This window comes from Homo sapiens, chromosome 4 (genome assembly GCF_000001405.40).
Source record: "Homo sapiens chromosome 4, GRCh38.p14 Primary Assembly".
NCBI classification, from domain to species: Eukaryota; Metazoa; Chordata; class Mammalia; order Primates; family Hominidae; genus Homo; species Homo sapiens.
The window spans coordinates 152,311,131-152,334,029 of NC_000004.12; the positions used below are offsets into that span (position 1 = coordinate 152,311,131).

Consider the following 22,899-nt stretch of genomic DNA (forward strand, 5'->3'; position numbering starts at 1 on the left):
AAGATGCATGGGGTTACAGCTCAGTTTATCCATCTGCACATGCTCAAATCAGAACCTGAAGTCAAAAGCTCTGGATTCTGCTAGTTCCAGATCTTAATATATGATGGTTTCCACCTTGAGACTGATGAATGCTGCTAACAGTGATATTATCAAGTACTTTTTATTAAGAACTCATGAGCCAGAGACTATGCTAAGCACATTACCTACATCATCTGTTCAGTCTTCAGCAGCCTGATGAGGTTAGGACTATTATTGTGCCTGTTTTACAGATGAAACAAGAGACCAGAGAACTGAGGTAATTTGCCCACACATGGATTCCATCCTAGCCTCTATCTAGCTATACAACTCCTCCAGGAAGAGCACCCCTAAGGCCCTCTTTGTGACATGAGACTGACTAGATAGATCATTCTTGTTGATGGATTCTACTGGCATGGGTAAAGAAAGGTCACTATTTCTGAAATCTGCCATACTGACTTTTTTTTGCAGAGGGTGTTGGGGGAACTTGCTTTAAAAAATATATTTCTAGCAAAGTAATGCAAATACTCAAAGTATATAAAAATGCTATAACCCTCCACTTTCCCCCCAACCATAGAGGCAAATATTTTTAACTTTTAGCTAACTCTTCTGATATATACATATATATATGTCCCATCTTTATATAATATGTGCACCTTATTTTTTCATTTTAGACATTAATAACTTCTAATTATGGTAGATGAGGATTTAACTCTCCCTCTACTATCCTCTCCCCCCCACTGATGTTTTAGCAATCATAATCATAGTATTTACATTTTTATGGCTACATAAATATAGTTTAGTATAGTTTCTAGGGCTAACTAGTATACTATGTTTTTAAACATACTTTTAAAAATTAATAATTGCCTTATTTTTATCTGTTGCATAGCTTTTTATATGTTGAACCGTAAAAAATTTCTAAGTGTACCATCAGCTGTTCGGAACGCTGAGACTTTTTTTCTCTAAAAGCTCTGGCATGATAATAAGATGATTATCATTTCCTTTTGTACGCTTGGGATGTTTCTTCCATTACTTTCCCTGCTTACACCTCAACTGCTAGTTCTTGAATTCAAATGCCCACCTACCATCCTAGAACTCCCTTCACCCATCTCCTGTGTTAAAATCCCTATTTTCTGCCACGTTTTTCTTGATTGTGGTTTGTTGGACCACATATTCATTTCAGAAAGAAAAGGTTTCTGAGAGGGAGTGCTTTGTGTCCTTCCATGCTGAAAATGTCTTTATTCTCCCTCCCACTTGATTATTTGGCTGGTGTAAATTCTAAATTGAAAATACTTTGCCTGTACAATTTCGAAGACTTTGTCTTCTATTATAGCATCCAATGTTGCTATTGAGAAGTCCAAAATTCCAATTCTTATTTTATTTAACCCCGACTTTTCTCTCCACAAGTTTTTAGGAAGGTCTTTTTAGCCTAGGTGCTTCAAAATTTCATAATGATGAACATGGATGGGCAGTTTTTTTTCATTCATTTATTCAAAGGGCACCCAGTGGGTCCTTGTCATCTAGGGGTTTTCTGTCATCCAATTCTGTTCATTTTTCTTGCAGTTAAAAACATTCTATTCTTTGTTTTCTATTTTCTGTTTTGGACACCCTGTTATTTGAATGTCAGATGTCCCAGACTGATCCTCTAAGTTTTTAATATTTTTTCTACTAATTTCCATCTCTTCCTTTAACTTTTGTTTGATTTCCTCAATTTTTATTTTCAGTTTAAGGTTTTCTTATGAAATTTCCATTATATTTTAGTTTTCATGAGCTCTTTTAAAAATTGTATCCTAGGCAGGGCAAAGTGGTTCACACCCATAATCCCAGCACTTTGGGAGGCCAAGGTGGATGGATCATTTGAGCCAAGTTTGAGACCAGCCTGGGCAACATGGTGAAACCCTGTCTCTAGAAAAAAATTAAAAATTAGCCAGGTGTGGTGGCATGAGTAGTCCTAGTTACTCAGGAGGCTGAGGTGGGAAGAACACCTGAGCCTGGGGAGGTCGAGGCTGCAGTGAGCTGAGATTTTGCCACTGCACTCCAGCCTGGGGGAGAGAGTGAGACTGTGTCTTAAAAAAAAAAAATGTATTCTGTTCCCATATTATAAGATGCAGTATCTTTTTGAGGGTATAAAACTTTCTTTCTCAAAGTTTATTTCATGAGTTTTTGGCTTACTTAGTCTTTTAAATCAGAGTCTTTTCTCAAACGTTCTTTGATTCTTGACTATCTGTTCATATTTTAGAGACAGATGCTAAAAAGTGAATAGGAAGCTCTGTATGGTTGGGGCTCTTAGAATGAGAAATTTCTCCTCTGATTGGGTAGGGAGCCAGCAGTTTCACTGAAGGAGTCCTCCAATAAAATGCCAGTATCTAGAGACTTTTTCTCTCAGGTTGTTCACTTCTCTGGGAAAGAATCCTCTGGTATATTTCAGACTGTTGGCATTCTGGGAGAGGGTTAGGGAGAATGTAATCTCCATTTTTGTTTCTGAGCCTCTTCTGTGCCTGTGTGCTCAGTGCAAGGTGGGGTGAAGTGGGTAGTGGGATAGGGGGTAACACAGAGGTGGTCCCCTGGCTGAGAAAAGGATGTAGGGCTCCAATCATTCCATGTGTTCTCCTTTTCAGCTAGTCCCCCAGTTTTCAGCTCCTGTCTTACCTTTGCCTTTCACAGAAAAGGAATTAGCTTGCTTCTCATTTGTATCCCCCTTTCTGGGCACATTAGATTGTAGCTTTTATACTCTACTCAACTAGAGTAATCCACTCCTACATCTGTCTTCCTACATCCAAAGTTGATGAAATCTTTTGTCTACTCGATTCTCTTCTCCTGCTTCCTTTCTGGGGTACTGATTTTTAGATTTCTCAATTGAAATAGGTTCTTTGGAGAGAAAGAAATAATTTGTCATTTTAGACTGGATTGCATTTTTTTTTTTTTTGAGACAGAGTTTCTCTCTTGTTGTCCAGGCAGTGATGTGATCTCGGCTCACTGCAACCTCCACCTCCCGAGGTCAAGCGATTCTCCTGGCTCAGCCTCCCGAGTAGCTGGGATTACAGGCACCTACCACCATGCCCTGCTAATTTTTGTATTTTTAGTATTAATGGGGTTTCACCACATTGGCCAGGCTGGTCTTGAACTCCTGACCTCAGGTGTTCTACCTGCCTTGGCCTCCCAAAGTGCTGGATTACAGGCATGAGCCACTGCACCCAGCTGGGATTGCATATTGCCTTCTAACAGGGGAGACTACTGTCTTAGGTTCCCGGCACATTTTGGGAGGCAGTTCAAGCATTGCGTCCTGGAAATTTTACAGATTTCCTCTTCCAGATAAACTTTGAAATAGTAACCTGAAACATAGTTACCGATATCTTGTTAGTGGTAGTAATAATAACAAAGATGGCTAGTATTCATTAAACACATAATTAGGTCAGTACTGTACCAGATGCTTTATGTTATTTCATGTAACATTCACAACAGTTTCTTTTTTACAGATGATGAAAGAGGTTCAGAAAGATTTTAAAATCCTTTCGGAGTTGCATGAGCGGCTGAGATGGAATTTGAACTCAACTGTCTTCCTCATTCCTGATTCATAATAAAATAATAATAATAGCTGCAACATTTATTGAGAATTTGCTAGGTATCAGTGTAAGTTCTACATGGTCCTGACTTTCCTGACAATACAGCATACAAGCTTGCTCCTTCACTTGCCTAGTTGTCTTTAGAACACAAGTACATCAATGGTGAATTTATTTATTTTTAACGTTTTTTATGTAACGAAAGTATCCATCTTCTGTAGAAACAGCATTTCTTTCCTCCTGAATTATCTGGTAGTAGTCTTTCTTTTAATAATATGCAATTTTACCTACTTTTCCTAAAATTTCATTACTAAGGAGATGGCTTAGAGTAGGTTCTTTCTTCTTAGGCAACTCACTCTCTTTTGTTTCTGCAGTTGAAAAAAAGCAGGAGGGGATTCACACAGCCAAACCATACCAGGAATCTACTACACATTTTTTCTTCAGGCCTCCCCTGTTGAAAACCAGGCACTTGCTTGAATAGCTTTATGTCAGCTTCTAGTTTGACAGGTCAAGGCTGAGGACTACATCATTTTCTGGCATGACCTATGAGATACTACGTGTTCCTGTATTTTCAAGGCAGTTGTGAATCAATATATAACATAGTGGTTAAGAGGTTGGGTTCTGGAACCTCAATGCCCGGGTTTAAATCCCAGTTTCTCCAAGTTTCGTTTTGTTTTGTTGACACACGGTCTTGCCCTGTCACCCAGGCTGTAGTGCAGTGGCACAACGACAGCTCACTGCAGCCTCAACCTCCCATGCTCAAGATATTCTCCCACCTCAGCCTCCCAAGTGGCTGGGACTACAGATGCGTGCCACCATACCAGGCTAATTTTTCTATTTTTTGTAGAGATGGGGTTTCACCATATTGCTCAGGCTGGTCTTGAACTCCTGGATGGTCCTCCTGCCTTGGCTTCCCAAAGTGCTGGGATTACAGGTGTGAGCCACTGCACATGCCAGCCCCCCTTTTTTTCCTCTTGTGTCCTTGAGCAAGTTACTTGGTATCTTTGTGTCTCAGTTTTCTTATCTGTAAAATGAGACTTTGTATTAATAATAATAGTAAGCCATGGGATAGTTGAGAATATTAATAATTTAAAAATATTTAGAGCCATGCTAAGTGTTAAGTGCACAATGGCAGTTAGCTACGATAGTTTATTACAGGTAATAACAACAAACAACTCTTTAACAAATACTATGTGCCAGGCACTATGCCATACATGGTCTTACGTAGTCCTCATAATGTTTCCTCATTTATAGATGGGGTAAAACACAGAAGTTGAGACAGGCAGACATGGATTCATGTTGAAACTGATGAAGCTAATCTTGAGGCCCTCATTTAACAGATCCCTGGGAGAGCTAGGGGTTGCTGGGAGTTGTAGTATTTCAGGTGGGCAAGAGAAGCCAGGCTGCAATCTGAAGCATTTCTGATAATTGCCTAAAGAGATCTTATTTGGTGGCTCACGCCTGTAATCCTAACACTTTGGAAGACCAAGGCGGGTGGATTACCTGAGCCTGAGCTCACTTTGAGATCACCATGGGGGCAACATAGTGAAGCCTTGTCTCTACTAAAATACAAAAAATTAGCCGGACTTAGTGGTACACGCCTGTAATTCCAGCTACTCGGGAGGCTGATGCAGGAGAATTGCTTGAACCCAGGAGGTGGAGGTTGCAGTTAGCCGAGATTCAAGATTGCATCACTACACTCCAGCCTGGGCCACAGAGCGAGACTCTGTCTCAAAAAAAAAAAAAAAAAAAAAAAAAAAATCTCAGAAGGATCTGCATTTCCTAGGCTTCTAGGCTTCAGTAATTTATCATCTTTCTCATTCTAAATGTTTATTTTTGGATCTAATTGTATTTTTTTTTAAGAGAGTCCTTAAGTTTGTAAGCTTTAGGCTCCCGAAACCCAGATCCAACCCTGACCAGAGATGTATGCAGTTTTACTCTTTATACCATACTGTGTTCTTGCTGGATGTATTTAAGCTATTCAAACTCCCTTTAAAGGAGTGGAGAGCATACTCAAATTGAAAGACTTAGTTTTTCCAACTACATTTAGTAAGGAGTAAGGGTCTGATGAATCCTTAGTGGCTGTAACTAAGTTTAAAAAGCCCTGCAAATAACCTTCCCCTCTAGGTGAGTAGCAGGGTTTAATGTCTCTTTTATAATTGATTAACCTCCTGGAAAAGGGTAAATTGGCAATATACTTTTGTGGTCTATTACATTTGAATCTTTGATTTGCAAGTGGCTTCAAAATAATTTTACTTGCAGAGCACGGCCGCTGAAGCAAAACAGAATCCAAACAGCCTTCACAGGTTTTGCCATCACAGATATTCCAAAGGAAAGAATGAAACATCAAAATGTCCATTCAGTGGCTCCTTGTCCTTAAGAATCCTGGGGAGAAACAGATCATCTGAAATAGAAACTCTGCTATTTTTATACCCAATTGCAAATTGGGAAGTTGCCAGGCTTTTTGTCTCAGCAATGAGTCTTCCTAGGAACTGGATCTAGAATTTGTTTATACTTCACGCTCTGGTGAAAGGTGCATTCTGAATCCTTTCAGCTTCTGATGCTTTTCCTTTCCCTGAAGAACCCTTGAAATTTTTTGTCTCATTCAACCTAGAAAGAGAAGGTGGCAGGGTACAAAGTTGGCAAGAACCTCACTCATTTGGGCATCACTAGTATTAACTGAATGGATAGGACATGTTGGTTAGTCAACAATGACAGATCTTGCTATGTTGTCTGCAATTCAAAGCAATGACTAGGCACTCCCCCAAAAAGGAGCTGGGTGCAGCTACTTTGGATCTAACTTCATATCCATCTCCTGGGCAGCAGAAAATGCCCAAATCAAAAATTATGCATCAACTTTTCAAATTACCATATGGTTGCTTGATGCAGGGCTCCAGGAACATTATGCACACACATTCTCTTCAGACATAGAGACCACTAATCTATCATGGAGAGGAATATTAGGAAGTCTCCTCTTGGCCACCAACCCCTTCCCTTTATGACCCATTCCTTATTTTTGATAGATGAAAAAAGAGGCCTAAGGGAATGATGGTATGACTCAATAAGAACAAGAGGCTTATTCTCAGTTTCCAAAATATTCTTGTGTATGTATGTGTAACTATGTGTAAACACATACACAAACACACATAAAAGCCATCTTGAAAATGCAGTAAGGCAGAGAACATTAAAACAATCTGTGTCAGAAGCATTTATTCAAATTCATTCATCAGCAAACCTAAGCCACTGCTACTATTAGAATTACAAATGGCACTGCAAAATAGGAGGTTCTCTTCCAATTGCTATAAGGGACAAGGCAGGATCCTTTATTGGCTGATGAACCTGAAGGAGTATAGGTTACAATTCTGACTTTTATTGGGGCCGGAGATGACTAAAAGAATGAAAACAAATTTGTGTCTGAGGGCGGTATTCATTGGGGAGAAATATTTCAAAAACTTTCCTTCTCCTGGAGGGAACCAATCAGAAAAAAATGTAATGTGAATCTATTTCTGCTATGCAAAGCAACGGAGCTTCATGTTTCTGGTTTCAACATGGAATAGAGGGAGTTACAGGGGCAAGGACAGTGGTGAGTAGGCGCCTCTGAGATGTCTTCTCTCCTTCACCTCCGTACCTTTGTTTCACAGTGTGCAACGTGTATCTCAGGGAGAAGTGTACAGAAAACCAGGGCTCAGCTGGGTCTGGGGAAGCTGCCCTTGATCCCCATTTCACTTTAGGGAAGAGAAAAGCAAAGAGGTCTTTTGTAGCCTCTAATCAATTCAGGGAAATGGAAGAGTTTACAACAGACTAGCTCAAAGCTGGTAGAGAAAATGGCTTAAAGCAGTTAATACAAATAACTAAATGTCAATTACTTTTCTGAAATGAAACAAGGCTGGTTGAAACATTTACTTACCATTTGGTAGGCATTAGCTTTTGCAACCTAATGAAATAGCTGTGGTAATTGAATCTCAATAAGGGGGTTTCAAAGTGTCAAAATTATAAACAATTCTAATATAAAATAATGAGATAATCAACTCTGCTCAGTTCAACAAGTATACTAAGTACCTGCTACTGGCTTTTATGGGTTACTTTTGTGTCCTAATTTCAGCCTTAGTTTCAGGCAATGTTTGATATTTGGGAACTTGTAACATCTAAATATGAAGTGTGCCTATATCTGTTATGAAGATTTTAAAATGTACAGTTACATGAGGTGGTAAAGTTTTTCATTAAAAAGGCCACAAAATGGAGTTTTCTTAGTGACCTTTTTACAACAATTATACTTTGATTCCTGTAGAAGGATGCTAACATTTTCCCTTCAAGCAAAGATTTATTGTAATAAAGATTATTCATTTATTCATAAAATGATGTTTAATGAACACCTAAACACAGTCATCCCTCCATTATTTGTGGGTTCTGCATCCACAGATCTAACCAAACGAGAATCAAAAATATTTGAAAAGGGTGGCTATGTCTGTATCGAACATGTACAGACTTTTTCCCTTGTCATGATTCCCTAAACAATACAGTATAATAACTATTTACATAGCATTTACATTGTCTTAGGTATTATAAGTAATCTAGGTATGATTTAAAGCATACGGGAGGGCTTGTATATGTTACATGCAAATACTATGCCATTTTATATCAGTGACTTGAGCATCCATGAATTTTGATATCCATGGGGGTGAGGTTGGGGAGATCCTAAAACCAATCCCGCCCAAATACTGAAGGATGACTGTATATACAAAACCACTGTTAGGTGCTCAATATCAGTCTGTCTCACAAGGTTTCTGTAAAACTCAAATGAGAATCTAGATGGCTCCACGTAAAAGAATGGACTGCTGTGTGTGTGTGTGCACACGTGTGTATGTGTATGCTATTTTTATTACATAATCTGAGTAACAAATACATTCAATTCTCTAATATAGAAAGTTATCTGGGTCTATTTACTTAAAATTTTTAATAGAAGCTACCATTTACTGAGCTCTAAATGCCATCGGTATGCAATGTGCTTTACGTTTCACCTAATCTTTATAATAACCTTAGGAGATGGGTATCCTCTACATCTTAAATGAGGAAACACGAGGTCAAGAAACATGATAAAGGTCCCAGTAACTAGACCATACTAGAACTGAGATGAATTCAGGGCTATTTGTCTGCAAAGCCTGTGAACTCATTCTATTCTCTAAAGTTCTAAAAATGGATGTTTCTCTTCAATTATATTCTAGTTAAGCCTCATTTATATGCTCTTATGAAAAATCAAGCAGTTTCAAGAACTATCAAATAGAATTACAACTTTTTCTTGACAATTCACAGTCATCAATGTGAACAGTAGTCACGGTTTGGGCAGTAACGTGGTTTACTCTAAAGACCCTGCACTTCACGGCCTAGTAGGATTTTTGCCTTGCATTCAACCAGGTAGTTTTTTGTTTTTTTCCTTTACCCTGTCACTTTTCCTTGCTATTTTTGTGTCTGTAATTTGCTGTGGACTAATAAACCAAATAACCAAATGTACAGGAATGGTATCTAAAGCAATGGTTCTGAAACTTTAGTATCCACAACTCACCTGGTGAGCTAGTTTAAATGCAGGTTCTTGGGTCACACTCCCAGGTGTTCTGATTTAGTAGCTTTGGGAGAATGAGGCCCAGGATTTGCCCTATGAGTAAAGAACACATACTTTATGACTATGAGAAAAAGGGGAGTCCATTTTCAGTAGCTTTTATATTTTCATCTACGGCCTGGTTAGTTGAGATTACTGGATGTGTGTATATATATATGTGTGTGTATATATATATATATATATATATATCTCCTGCTATTTGAGATACTAAATATATTTAGAACTAGTTTCAAAAACAACTTTATTTTTTCCCCTTACATCATAAAATTTAGATTTTATAAAATTTAGATTTGTTGAACAAAACGGCTACAGAACAGTCAGAAAGTACCAGAAAAATGGCTTATTTCCCTCTCAAACCTTGCTTTAGTCTGTCAAACTTTCTTAAAGAGCAGCATGTATTTAGTCTTTGGAAATATGGGTTTGAGTTCTGGCATTCCGCTAGTTCTATGATTTGACAAATTGCCTAACCAGTCTCAGCTGCAGATTTTTGCTCGTCTTTAAGATGGGAGATAATAGTGCCTACTTCTCAGGGATAGTGGGAGCTTAAGAGAGAATGAACAGAAAGTATCGAGGGTAAGCACTTAATATGTGGTCAAAATTTCAAAATGAATTTGTTATTTATAAGGCTTCTAGTTGTAATTATCACAAAAGTTTTGTGGATTCTTTGAGGGAACCAGATTTCATATTTATACACCCCAATGCAATCTACAGAGATGAGCACAGTGGAGTGTCCTCCTTCATAGTCTAGGAGAGAAATAAAATTTGCAGTTGCAGCACATTATCCTTACTTTCGCGGTATAAAACAGGCTTGAAGTATTGATTTCTATGTCACACAGCAGGATGCAAAGAAACCAAGATTTTGCTTATTTAAATATTATAGACAAATCCTAAATACTTATAATGAAGGATTATTACTTCAGTGGAAGAAACAGGCATACTAACATGAAAAAACACATTTTATTGCACTTAAGTTATAAGAAAATAAAATTTCTAAGTGAATCAAACCATAGACACAATCCCTTTAAAGGTTGTTTTCCTCCATCATGTCAGGTTGTTACATAACTAAAATTAACCAACTTGAATCTGATTGTTTTAAATCAGACTATAAATAAAACAAACAAAAAAATAAACAGAAGGAGGAAAAAAGATCGCCTAGGATACAGTGTTAAACCACTTTCACAGTTCAGCTTGAGTTGTGGCTCTTGGAGAATGAGGCAAACCATTTGACTGTTTCATTCATTTTGTTTGTTTGCATGTGACGCCTTTACTACAAAAACTGAATAGTTTCTGCTTTGTCAGTTACTCAGAGCAATAAAACTGTAACAGTTGTTTTCCCAAATACTGTAAAACACTAAGACTGACCAGCAACTTTATTTTAATTTTGTGTTTTATATATTTTTAAAATATTTTGTCAGTTTTACGATGTACGTTCATCCATTCACCACAGCCCTCAAAAAGAAAAGTTTCTCCACAGAACAGGCAAGTAATAGCTCTGTTCCAAGGAATGTGTTTTAATTTTTGCCCAGATAAAAGAAAATAAGCTTTGCACACACTCTCAATTCTTTACTTGCAGGCAAACTTCACTCTTTATTATCTGAAACTCTTCCATTCTCAGCCTCTTAGAGGCACAGATGGCTCAAGTTTCAGTGGCAAAAAGTCTTTTTTCCATAACCAAACTAGAGCAAATTTGGAATTCAGTCTGGGACTAAAACGTCACAGCAGAAAAAAAATAAAAAAAAATAATTTGCTTTTTTCTTTCTTTCATTTAGCAGCATAAATAAGTTTGGCCACTGGGAGTACAGTACAGGGTTGGGACAACAATCCCATATTTGAAGACCTACTTCTAGCACCAGCATCAAGAATTAAATCCATCTCAGGACTCACAGAACCCAGGACAACTTGCCACCTTTGAGCAACATATGCATTGAAGAATGTATATGGAAGCAACAGTAAATAGATTAACAGAGGCTAATACTGTGATTGATTGACATTGGCAATGGTTGGCAAAAAAAAAAAAAAAAAAGCTTTTCATGATAACTGTACAAAAACAATTCACAGTAATTTTTTTAAGCTTTTCCACTCCAGAAAAATGACTTTTTGTTGCAGATGCTCTCTAATTAGAAAGTCAACCAGTACTTGTTTTGATATTATTGCAGTTCCTTTCTAGGTGTCTAGCTGTCAGTGGTAAAAGAACAGGCTAGCAGAATCTGTAATGATGTTTCAGCATTAACACTGCCCAATGACCACTGGAGAAGAAAATAAAGAAATAATTGCACCTGGTTTGATTTAGAAAGTCTCATTTTGCAAAGCTGCCCTCAGTCAAAAGTGAAGCCTTTTATGTGATGAGACAGCAGACGCCTCTCTTGTCAGTTATGGTTTGTCATCTCTTCTTCTTTTCCTTCTTAGTCTGTAGGTCTTTTCAATCTGTTGCCCCAAGCCAACATCCTGCACCACTGAGAACAAGGGATTTTTTTCTTTTTCTTTTCTTTTTTTCTTTTTGCAGGGGGAAGGGCAGGGAGTATATCGTCTACACAATTGGACAAATTCATCTTTTCTGCTCTTCACTTCATGTCCACATCAAAGTCCAGCACCAGCAGCTTGGTTTCTTCAGTCCCATTCCGACTCCCAACTGCACACACCAGCTTTGTGTTTGAGGCTCTGATCCGCCACACAACTCCCCCACTCCCCCCACTCTCCAATGTGACTAGGTTTCGAATAAATTCACCCGTTTTCAAGTCCCATAGTTTTACAGTTCCATCATCTGAGCTGGTAATTACAAAGTTCTTGTTGAACTGTAAACAGGTCACAGCACTCTGATGCTTGTTGGGACCTAGACAAAAACCAAAAGAATTTAATTACTGGTTAGAAATAATGGCTATGAGTTAGTTACATTATAATTTGTAGACTTCTACTTTAGAACATACAATAAATGCAACATTTGAAATGATACATATTTAGAAACCCATGTCCTCAGTATTTTAGGATCAGCATGGATGTAAGAAAATCTGGTAGTGATTTGTAACTGAAACATTAACTTTCAAGAGGTCTGTCTTCCAAGAAGCTTGGTTAGCTACCAGACAAACATCTTATTTTCTGGCTGTGTGAACGACAGCATTCCTTGGTGAGGATGTAGATAGTGCAACTTCATACCTTCTGCTGATGGACAAATGAGCACTAAGAGATCTATTACCCCACCACCATGAACCACTCAAAGCTGAACAGTCACTATTCCAAAACTCTGAGGAGAGACAAAACCAATGAGTAAAAAGCTGCAATGTTGCCTATCAGATGGCCCCACTGAAAAAAACACTTTCTAAGGGCTATAACAAATAGAAAAAGTTAATCATGAGGCACTGCTGTACCTCATCTAATATTAGTGATTTTCACTTGTTTCTTTCTCTACTTTAGTAGGCACTATTATTCCTCTCCATTCCAGTTAAGCACGTGACTAAGTGGAGGCCAAATAAATTTTCTATCAAGGATGCTGTTGTTTTTTTCAATAAGGTAGCCCTTTAAAATTGGACTACAAATTCAAAATGCAATGGTCAATCAAAAAATATAATGAGTACGTTGCTTCTATGATATAGCCAAGATCTTTCTTCTCACTGTTCTTAAAGGTTAAGTAGAGTCAATTGAACATGCAGGAAGTGATTAAACAATTTTATATTACATATTAAAAACACAGTTTAAAACATTTCCTCAAGAGTAGACTAGTTCTGTAAGTCAGGGTGAAAATATTCATAAACTTTTCTGAAGTAACCATTCTGTATGAGGTTGACTCTTTTTGTGATGCTAAGGCTCCATATTTCTCTTGAATAATGATCTCATTTTTAATGAACAAAACGAAAGGTGAGTAAGACTTACCTTGCAATGTTTGTAAACACTGTCCTGTTTTGATATCCCAGATTTTAACTGTAGAATCTGCATTCCCAGAGACAAGAATATTGTCTTTGAGTTCCATTCCACTTGTTAACGACTGGTGCCCTGTTAACGTGTGAATGCAATTCCCTGTCTCCACATCCCAAACACGGATTGATGTATCAAGAGATCCACTCACCACATGGATACCATCAAACTACAAAAGACACAGTTTATTAGAATAGAAGTATGGATACTCTTCCTATCAATTACTGACCTTAATCCTAGTAGGAAAGGGGGAAGAGGATGGGAAACAGGTAATGCCAGGAACAAAATGAGGTACTAAGATAAAGTGGCAATGAGGATAAAGTGCATGCCATCAAGCAACTCTACAATGTATGTTCTCACACACTTCTATCAGAAAGGCTCATCTTTATGCCAAGCAGCTTCAAACTAGATGCAGAAACAACTTAAAATGAAAACAAAGCACCTAAAATGAACAATATGTTAATTTTCAAATCATCTGGCCCCACCTAGCTATATATCATGGATGACTGAGAGAATTGCTATGAGTTTTACTTCCCACTAGGAAGCTGAGACTAATGACATAGCTTATGATAAACGGAATGCTTATCAGCACCTAAGGCATGAAAAGGGCTAGAGATAACTTTCGTGATGTTCAAAAGTAAGTTCCATTAAAAACTGTGTGTAAAATAAAATTTCATTTATAAGAACCTAATGCTAATTAGGAAATGTGCCAAAAGATAATTGTATCTGGAATCAGAAGAGGTGGCATTTTGAAATCAAAAGCAAACTACATACTACCTCTTCTCCAGCTTCCCAGCTACACCAAAAGTCAATAACAGTCTATCATTTCTAAACAATAATGTGGCTACCTCTTTTCTCAATCAAACAGTTTATTTAAATTAGAATATTATATTCATTAAGCTTCTGAACATATCAGAAACAGGTGCAGCCAATTCCCCTTCCTCCAAATTCATCACCTTTTCTAATTTAGCAAACATTTTTATCATATTGTCAATATTTCATGACATGGACAATATCCCTTTGACAAAGAAACAAATATCCTAAGAACAGAATTGACAGTACTAAGATTATGTACTAATTTGCTGAACATTAATGGGTAATAACTGGTAAATAAACTATATAAGCTATAGGAAATATTTTTACATTAAAAATGTTGCCTTTCTGGAAATAAAACAAGATTCATATTCTAAACTTCCTATTCATCTAGTTAATGATCTCAAAATATGGCAATGTTTTCAAGGATATGGGCTTGAAATATAAACCAAAAAAAAGAAATCGGTTTAGTCAACTTTACTTCTTTATGACTACAAATCAGTGGGCCTGGGACAGTAGAGTGCTTTATGCAGAAAGGATCTATTTCCACTTTGAATGGGGATGGAATCACAATTACATGGTCCATCAACTTTCAGCTATCAAAGCAAAGGGGCAGCTTTTGGCCATATTAATCTTCTGCAAAGGAGTTTCTTAAAATCCAGGTTACTCTCCTATGAGACTATTTAACCATTAATTAACATAGCAAAACTTAGAGCCCCAAAGTGTCAGGTTGCAAAACAAATATTTGTATTTAGAGGAGAAATAGATCACAGAAAATTGAAAGCATTTAAATAATTTTGAAATTTACACTTTCTTCATGCCAATTTTAACGTATATAAAAACAGCAGAATAATCTGATTAATCTTTTTTGGACTGTACTGGATCAGCAATTTGACAGTGATTATCTGAGTAAAACAACCTTATGATTCATCAGGAGAGCATTTAAGGGAGAGATAAGAGATCTTACCTGTAATGAATAGACTCTATTAGTATGCCCCTGCAACGTGTGTAGACAGGTTTCAGTCTCTGGATCCCACACCTTTACCATAAAATCATATGCTCCACTAACAACCCTCCTGCCATCATATTGAACACAGCGGACTGCTGCAACATGACCCATCAAAACATGTAAACACTGGCCTGTCTCAATATCCCAAACCCTAAGAGTGGCATCTCGAGAACCGCTAACAACTCTGCAGAGGGAGAAACAGAAAAACAAAACAAAACAAAAAAACCCACGTTTAGAATTTTTAATAATATGAGAAAACATGGTAGATTTAGTCAAGGTTTTTTAGCTTTTTTTTTTTTTTTTTTACACAGCAACAACCATTTTCAAAAGAAATCCTATGTAAAACCTTGGTATATAAACATAATAAGGGAATGGGAAGTTGGGAAGCCTAGAATGCTGCATGCTTGGTTCCCTGACCTGGGGACCTTAGGTTCAGCACCTTAAGGTTCTGTGGGACTGAGTTTGAAAACCACTGTACTGTATTTTTTAAAAAGCAGCAGAAGCTGCCTCTAAATATATACAATAAGATTTTGATTTTAGAAATAAAATGTTAATGTGGGCATATGTATAAAATGTTAATGGGAGAACTCTAGGTGGTAGTGGTTTAAAGAATTTAAATTTTCTTTATGTTCTTTGCCATTTTCCAAAATTTCAATTATGAATGCATATATTCCCTTGTGATTAGGTAAAAAATTCAATAAAGTTTATACAACAAAACAAGTCAGAATTTGGAATTTAAACAGCTGCAGATTTGTGTTTACACTATACATTCCAGTAAAAATTAACCAGTTTTAGACATGTCCTCAAACACAGGCTGCTTATGCTTTTAATGATTAGATTTATAAATATGCAATAGGCTATAAAAATATTAAGAGATAAAGATTTTAAAAGATATGTACATCTTTAAAAACAATGGCTATCCCTTAAACATTTGGTTCAACATCAGCGCTATACTCTTCTGAAAACCAGAGCAATATACAAATACTGTAATCACTTTTGGATTACAAAACAAAGCTGAAAACTCAGGTATCCTTATGTCATTCTGAAGAGATAAAGAAATACCACAGTTTCCATATTTTAAAAAAGTAGATAATTAAAGGGTTGAGAGAACCCTTTAATTGAGAACCTAATGTTGAGAGAACATAATGGAAACTGGAATACAAGGTCTCTTGATACTCATCCCCCAAATTTTAACAGTATAGCACACTGTTCAAAGTAGAGGTAAATGACAATTGAAAAGGTACTCCTTTTCACATATTACAAATCTGGTGTGAAATCTGCTTAATGTAATTGTTCTTAATAAAGAAGATGCGATAGACAGAATTAAAGGTAAAGACTGCCATGGATTCACTGTAAGGACCTTTCAGAGAGACCTTTTTTGACAAATGAGGTAGAAATCACACTTGTTTAACAGGGGTATGATGACGATAATAGAAAGATAGGATTTTAATAGGAGGGCTTTACAGGAGGAGATAAAAGCAACAGCAAAGGCACTGAGAAGAGAAAGTCAAAAAGTCCAGTTTGGCAGAAACCATTTTGAAAACTGGATCGAGGATTTCTTCCTTAATTCGTTAGTCAACAGTAGGCTCAAAAAGACTTAAGAACTGGGCAGTGACACTATCATAATTATAAAAGGACTATATGTCAGCTGTATAAAACATAAGATAACCAAGTTAGAAAGCTGTGACAATAGTTCAGAATGAGAGAACAAATTACCCACAGGCCTCAGCTTTTGCCTAGACTTAGAGATAGGGTGGGTGTAAGGTGGGTAGGTAATTTAAAAAGGCTCAGACGCTTGAAGCCTGAATTTGTCCCACTTGCGGAAATAAGAATATCAAAAAAAGAGAGAGAAAACATGATTTCTGCTTGAATATGATGAGTCATCAAAGATACAGAACAACAAAAAGGATTAGAGATTAGAGAGTAGAGAGTTTCAAACAGGAAGCTGACAACACTAGCAAATGAGAAAGGAAATTTACAGACAATCACCAATTTTAAGACAAAACGCTATGGCTTTCCTAGAATAGAAACATCTGAAGTGTAATAATTAAATCTAATTTAAGAGCACACTGTCACTATTTCAGTAACTCTACACAGAAAGGGCCCAAATTCACCAATAATAGAGGAAGAAGTCCCAACCATGACAAGATTTTCCCTTACCTTTTTTCATGAAGATGCATACAACGCACAGTGGAAGTATGCCCATATAAGGTGTGTATACATTCTCCAGTCTCTGCATTCCACACTTTGAGTGTCCGATCTGTAGATCCACTAATGATGATGTTGTCTCTCATTTGTGATGACCATACTCCACCTGTATGTCCCACTAATGTTCTCAGACACTGGAAAAACACTTAAGATGATTACTTTTGGGTAGAAAGGAAAAGTGATTTAAATAAAATTTAATAGCTCATTAAAATTTGGAGTAAAGTTACTTATTTAATTTGTTTGGCTCTTCAGAAAATATTACATCCGTATAAAATGATCCCATCACTATTTATTGTTTTGTTTATTCAAAAGCATTATAAATTTATATAAGCACAAGCAATTGTGTATGTAGTATGTAGAAAGCAAACATATGATATAAAACATGATATAATAAAAAGGAAACACGACATGAAAGCAGTTATGATAGCTCTGGCCTGGCCTCTTTGATGAAATAATACTGAAATTGCAACTGGGTTTCTTCCATGGGAATAGATTCAATGAAAGTATGCCAACAGTATTGGGTGTGGCTACATACCACATTTCATCTGAATCTGCCCCAGGGCAGTAGTTAGGAGCCAGTGAAGCTACTTCTAGACAAGTAAAGACAGACATTAAAGCCCTGTAATAAATCCCAAACTAATATTACACTATGGAAATATAAAGCTGCTTTAAAAAATTTTAACATCTGACTTGGAATATTTATAAGATACTTGCCAAGAAGCAACATGGTAAAAGACATTTTAAAAGACATGGATTTTTTTTTGTTTTCATACTCTCTTCTGTTATTTTTTAGGTGGCAATTACTTAATTCATGAAAATATTCTCTACTGGACAGATAAAAATAAATATTCACTAGAGAATCATTAAGGTATGATATGGTACACAGTCAAGCTGATTGCTTGGGCTTTTTCTTCAAACTTAACATTTAAATGCCTTGTCCACTCTCATCTCACAAGGGTTTGAGATAAGTATAAATTAACATGATTTATTAAGTTCTAAACTACAGGTAGGTTATCAACAAAGCAGTTTATAAGGAAAAATAAATATCCCTCAACCATACTTTTGAAAAACATTACAAAGTAATGAGGTATAACTTAGATAGTAAATAAAAGTGGGGAAAAATTGAGCCAAGAAAAACATAAAGCACCCTTGAAAATGTTAAAGTATCTGTCACAAAGATAGACAAACTATGTAAATGAAAAAAAATTAATGAAACCTCTATCATGAGAAGCATCACTATCCTCATGCCATTGGCTTTCATAAATATGGGGAAAAAAGCTAAGTTATGAGCTCTGATATTTGCTATCCAAATAACTAAGAATCAAAAATGAATTATTGTTTTCTTTTTTCCAGTTGCTACTTGCAATGATATACACAAAATTATGACTTTGTGAAGTGTAGGAAGAGTAAACTTACTTTGCCTGTGACTGCTGACCAAACTTTTAAAGTGTTGTCATCAGAACCACTAACTATTCGGTTACCACAAAACTGTAAGCATGTGATCACATGATCATCATGTCCTTTCAGCACCTATAAGAAAGATGTGCAGATTAGAAATATGTTAATTAAATTATGTTCTTTAAAATACTGGTGAAGAGAAAAATGAAGGCATAAACAGGAACAGTAATTTGTAGTCTATCTCTAGAATTTAAATTTATATAAAGCATTATTTTTCCTGGCTGACGAATCCAGAATTAAACATTTTATTGTTTCCATAGTCTATTATTTATACTCAAAACATCAACTATTAAAGTTTTACTGCATCAAGACCTCATAAAGATGGTTCAAACACCAATGTATTTGACAATAATCTATTCCATCTGTTCAAACCAGAAGAATATGCCTCTAATTTTTACAACTTTGACACACAAGAACAAAATAAGCATCTATTAACCACAAAGAGTAACAATTATTAGCATTCTTAAAACAAAAAAAATCATAATATATACATATTAGTATAACAATGTCTCCCCAAATTGGTTTTTTCCAGTTGTAAAAATACGCCCAATAATTTCAAGTGTTTTTACCATTCTTTATGTATTTGAAATGTTATTAGACAGAAAACCAGAATTATGCTTCAATTTGTAAAAATAAGACACACAAAAGTCACCAAATCCAAAACACAGACACTCCTCAAAAAATCATGTTTGGAGTATGTGATCAGAGGAGGCAGCAAATTCTTAGGTAGAATGTGTATGACACAGTAAAATTCAATAGGATATTGAGAGATTTTCATTTACGTAAGATAAAAAGATACTCAATTTAACTTATCTTTTATTCAAGCACAATTAGTTGTCAGATTAGAGAAATTAGCAATAAAAGAATATTGTCAGTTAATACTTTCAGTTATTTTAAAATATACGGTTTTCTTTCTACAGAAGAGGAGTGTCATATTATACAGTTTGCCAAGTGAAATAGTACACTAGGTACTAACACTGATTAACGGTTTCTGTTACATTGTGCAGAGTTCAGTTACCTTAGGAGATTTGAGTTCTCCTCGCCTCCAGTTAGTATCAATTCTGTGCTGTCTGATGTATGCACTTTTCCATGGACTGTGTATGAAACCTGGTTTTATTACTTTTCTTCTCTTGATGTGCAATGGTTCATCAATCCCTAAAGTGTTACAGTTCAAGAGTAAATTGCCTTCACCAATAATAACAGTTATACATTTTATAAAGTATTCCATCTTTATAAAGAGTATTCCATCTCTCTGCTCAAAACCACTGAAATGCAAGACATTGTCAAATTTCCAATACTGTTATCACAGTATGTAGCAATAATGTAAAGTTTACATTCTATATGGCATATTTTTGTATTCACTATTTCATTTCTCAAAATGATTCTAAAATATGTTGGTGAAGATGTGAGGAAATTGGAATGCTTGTGCAAATGGTGCAGCTGCTGTGGAAAATAGTCTGGTGGTTCCCCAAAACAAACACAGAATTAACATATGATCTAGCAATTCCACTTCTGGATACATAACCAAAACAATTAAAAGCAGAGTCTCAAACAGTCATCTGTACACCCATGCTCATAGCAGGATTATTCACAGTAACTAAAACGTGCAAGCAATCCAAGGGTCCATCGAAAGATGGATAAACAAAATGTAGCATTAGATACATATACACAATGGAATAAAGGAAATTCTGACACATGCTATGACATGGATGAACCTTGAAGACATTATGCTAAGTGAAATAAGCTGATTACAAAAGGAAAAATATTGTATGATTTCACTTATATGAGGTACCTAGAGTAGTCAAACTCATAGAGACAGAAAGTAAAAGGGTGGTTGCCAGAGGCTGTGGAGAGGAATAATGGGGAGTTAGAACAGGGGGCATGGAGTTTCATGTGAAGATGATGAAGTTCTGAACACAGATGGTAGTGAATCTGAACACAGATGGTAGTTGCAAAACAATGTGAATGTACTTAATGCCACTGAACTGTACATATAAAAATGGTTAAACTGATAAATTACATACATGTTATCACAATTTTTAAAAGATCATTTAAAAAATGATTATATGGAAGAAGGGAAGGCACAGATTAATTCCACTTTATGTATGCAAATACTTAAGAATGAAGATTTCACTGATTAATCCAAGCCCTACAGAGGTCAAAAGCAGGATGACAAACCAAGCACCCTGGATCTTTACCTCAAACCTTTATTAACTGGACTAACCATCAATGCTTCCTACTTGACTATAACTACCATGAAGGGAATAATCACCTATAGAGTACCTACATCATGCTCTATGATTCTTTCTAAAATATTTTGCTTCTGAGGCACATAGTATTTTTATATTTTTTCAAAAATATTTTTCTGGATGTCTGCTGGGAAAAAAAACAAAAACAAAAAAAACAGTTCTCCCAATACACAGGATAACTACTCCTCTACTAAGGAAAAAAACAGGTTTCAAGAACATAAGCTCCATGACAAAAGAGAACTTCAGTTCACTGCTGTATCCCCCACCTTGAAGAAATGTCTGGCTCATAGGAGGTGTTCAATAAACATTTATGAAAAGAATGAATTAATACTAAATATTTGGATATTTAATTGGAAATATAATTTCGGGGTTTCCTTTAAGTCATCCTCATCTTGACTTTTTCATTGTTTATTAATTCTACTAGTGATAGGAAGCAAATCAGATATATTTGCTATTAGTTATATTGCTTGTTAAAGGGGTTAGCTGTTAAGATTCGGCTCATCTGAATGTGTAGAATAATCTGTGGATTTTATCATAAGTAGCTGAATATTATTTTTATTTTTTCTACTTGTTTTCAGAATCACTCTGCTTTTCAAAGTATAAACATATTCTCTATGCAATTTTGAACCTTACCCTCTTCTTTGCATTTCTCTCTCCAGAGAAGGTTGTCTTCAGCCAAAATTCTCCAGTAGCGACATGTCTGAGCTGCTTGTAGCAGGTCTTTGGGTTCCAGGAATGAAAGCACATAGAGTGCCAACTAAGAAAAAAATGCATAGTATAATACCCATATTTAAATAAATATATATATTATATAATAAGTTAATTATTCTCCACAGGATGAGATACTTGATAAATATAATTCTGCACTCTGATTTCTAAAATTATGAAAGGCAGTAACTTCAGTCCTAACAAATATATACCAGATAAAAAACACACACACACCTTATGGTTTTTATGAACTTCACTCTACTAACTCTTTACCCTCTTCAAGGACTACTTATTAAACCTCTCTGTCTCTGCTCTTGCCTTTACTCTGTGAGCCTCAACTCAATTTTTTAAAAAAAATGTTATTAGTTGTTTAACTTTTTTCTCTATCCTACTACAATGTAAATTCACTGAAGATAGGACCTAAATGCTTCCCTGACAGATAAGAAATGAGATTTGTATATATTCTGTGTGGTATGACTCCAGATCATTTTTGATAGATATATATCATAATTAACAGTCTTCAAATCAAAGTGTTTATTATTGTAATGAACTTCTGAAACACTTACATCCTTGACTGTAAATGACAAAGGGGGACAATTATTAAACCATTCCATAGACATATAAAAGTAATTGAGTTCTGATTACCTTATATTACTTATAAGGATCTTCTTGATGGGCCACATAAGAGTTGTATATTTGAGCTAAATCTTTGGTATACCACTGATTTAAAAACTTTGTTTATAATACTTATAAACTATTGATTTTTTTTCAGTGTGTCAGTTCAAATAAATAAAAAGGAAAAATAAAGAGAAAAAAAAAGAAAGAAGGGGAATTATAGCCTCTGACTGATTATTCAAGTAGCCTCACATATCACATAAAATTTTAAATTATGATACTAGGGAAAACAATTTAAATAGAGCAATTAAGTTCAGTTTTCATATGAAATAAATGACAAGAACTAACATAAATTATCCGTTAAAGGGTCAAGGGTCACACAGGGAGTAAAAGCACAATTTTAATTATTTTTTGATGCTAAATGTAAAGTATATAATATAAATTATGCTTTCCCAATGACTTTGCATATATAAGGAATTCATCATGGGCTGGGTGTGGTGGCTCACTCCTGTAATACCAGCACTTTGGGAGGCCGAGGTGGGTGGATCACTTGAGGCCAGGAGTTCGACATCAGCTTGGTCAACATGGTGAAACCCCATCTCTACTAAAAATACAAAAATTAGCCAGGTGTGGTGGTGCATGCTTATAATCCCAGCTACTCAGGAGGCTGAGGCATAAGAAACACTTGAACCCAGCAGGTGGAGGTTGCAGTGAGCCAAGATCACGTCGTTGCACTCCAGCCCG

The 22,899-nt window shown here is 35.9% G+C and overlaps 1 protein-coding gene across 16 annotated transcripts in view; it reads right to left on the reverse strand.

The window, feature by feature from the left end:
* FBXW7 (F-box and WD repeat domain containing 7) overlaps positions 9,414-22,899 on the reverse strand; it is a 215,549-nt gene continuing 202,063 nt past the window's right edge. For 15 of the 16 annotated variants that reach the window (XM_011532085.3, XM_047415900.1, XM_047415902.1 and 12 more), the window contains 7 exons: positions 21,466-21,589; positions 19,602-19,738; positions 18,542-18,655; positions 17,078-17,259; positions 14,876-15,101; positions 13,054-13,264; positions 9,414-12,019 (listed from right to left, as the gene is read on the reverse strand). In XM_011532085.3, coding sequence (XP_011530387.1) covers positions 11,751-12,019; positions 13,054-13,264; positions 14,876-15,101; positions 17,078-17,259; positions 18,542-18,655; positions 19,602-19,738; positions 21,466-21,589 — 1,263 coding nt within the window. In that variant the 3' untranslated portion in view covers positions 9,414-11,750. The remainder of the gene's footprint in view (positions 12,020-13,053; positions 13,265-14,875; positions 15,102-17,077; positions 17,260-18,541; positions 18,656-19,601; positions 19,739-21,465; positions 21,590-22,899) is intronic. The other variant, NM_033632.3, reaches the window with a different exon arrangement.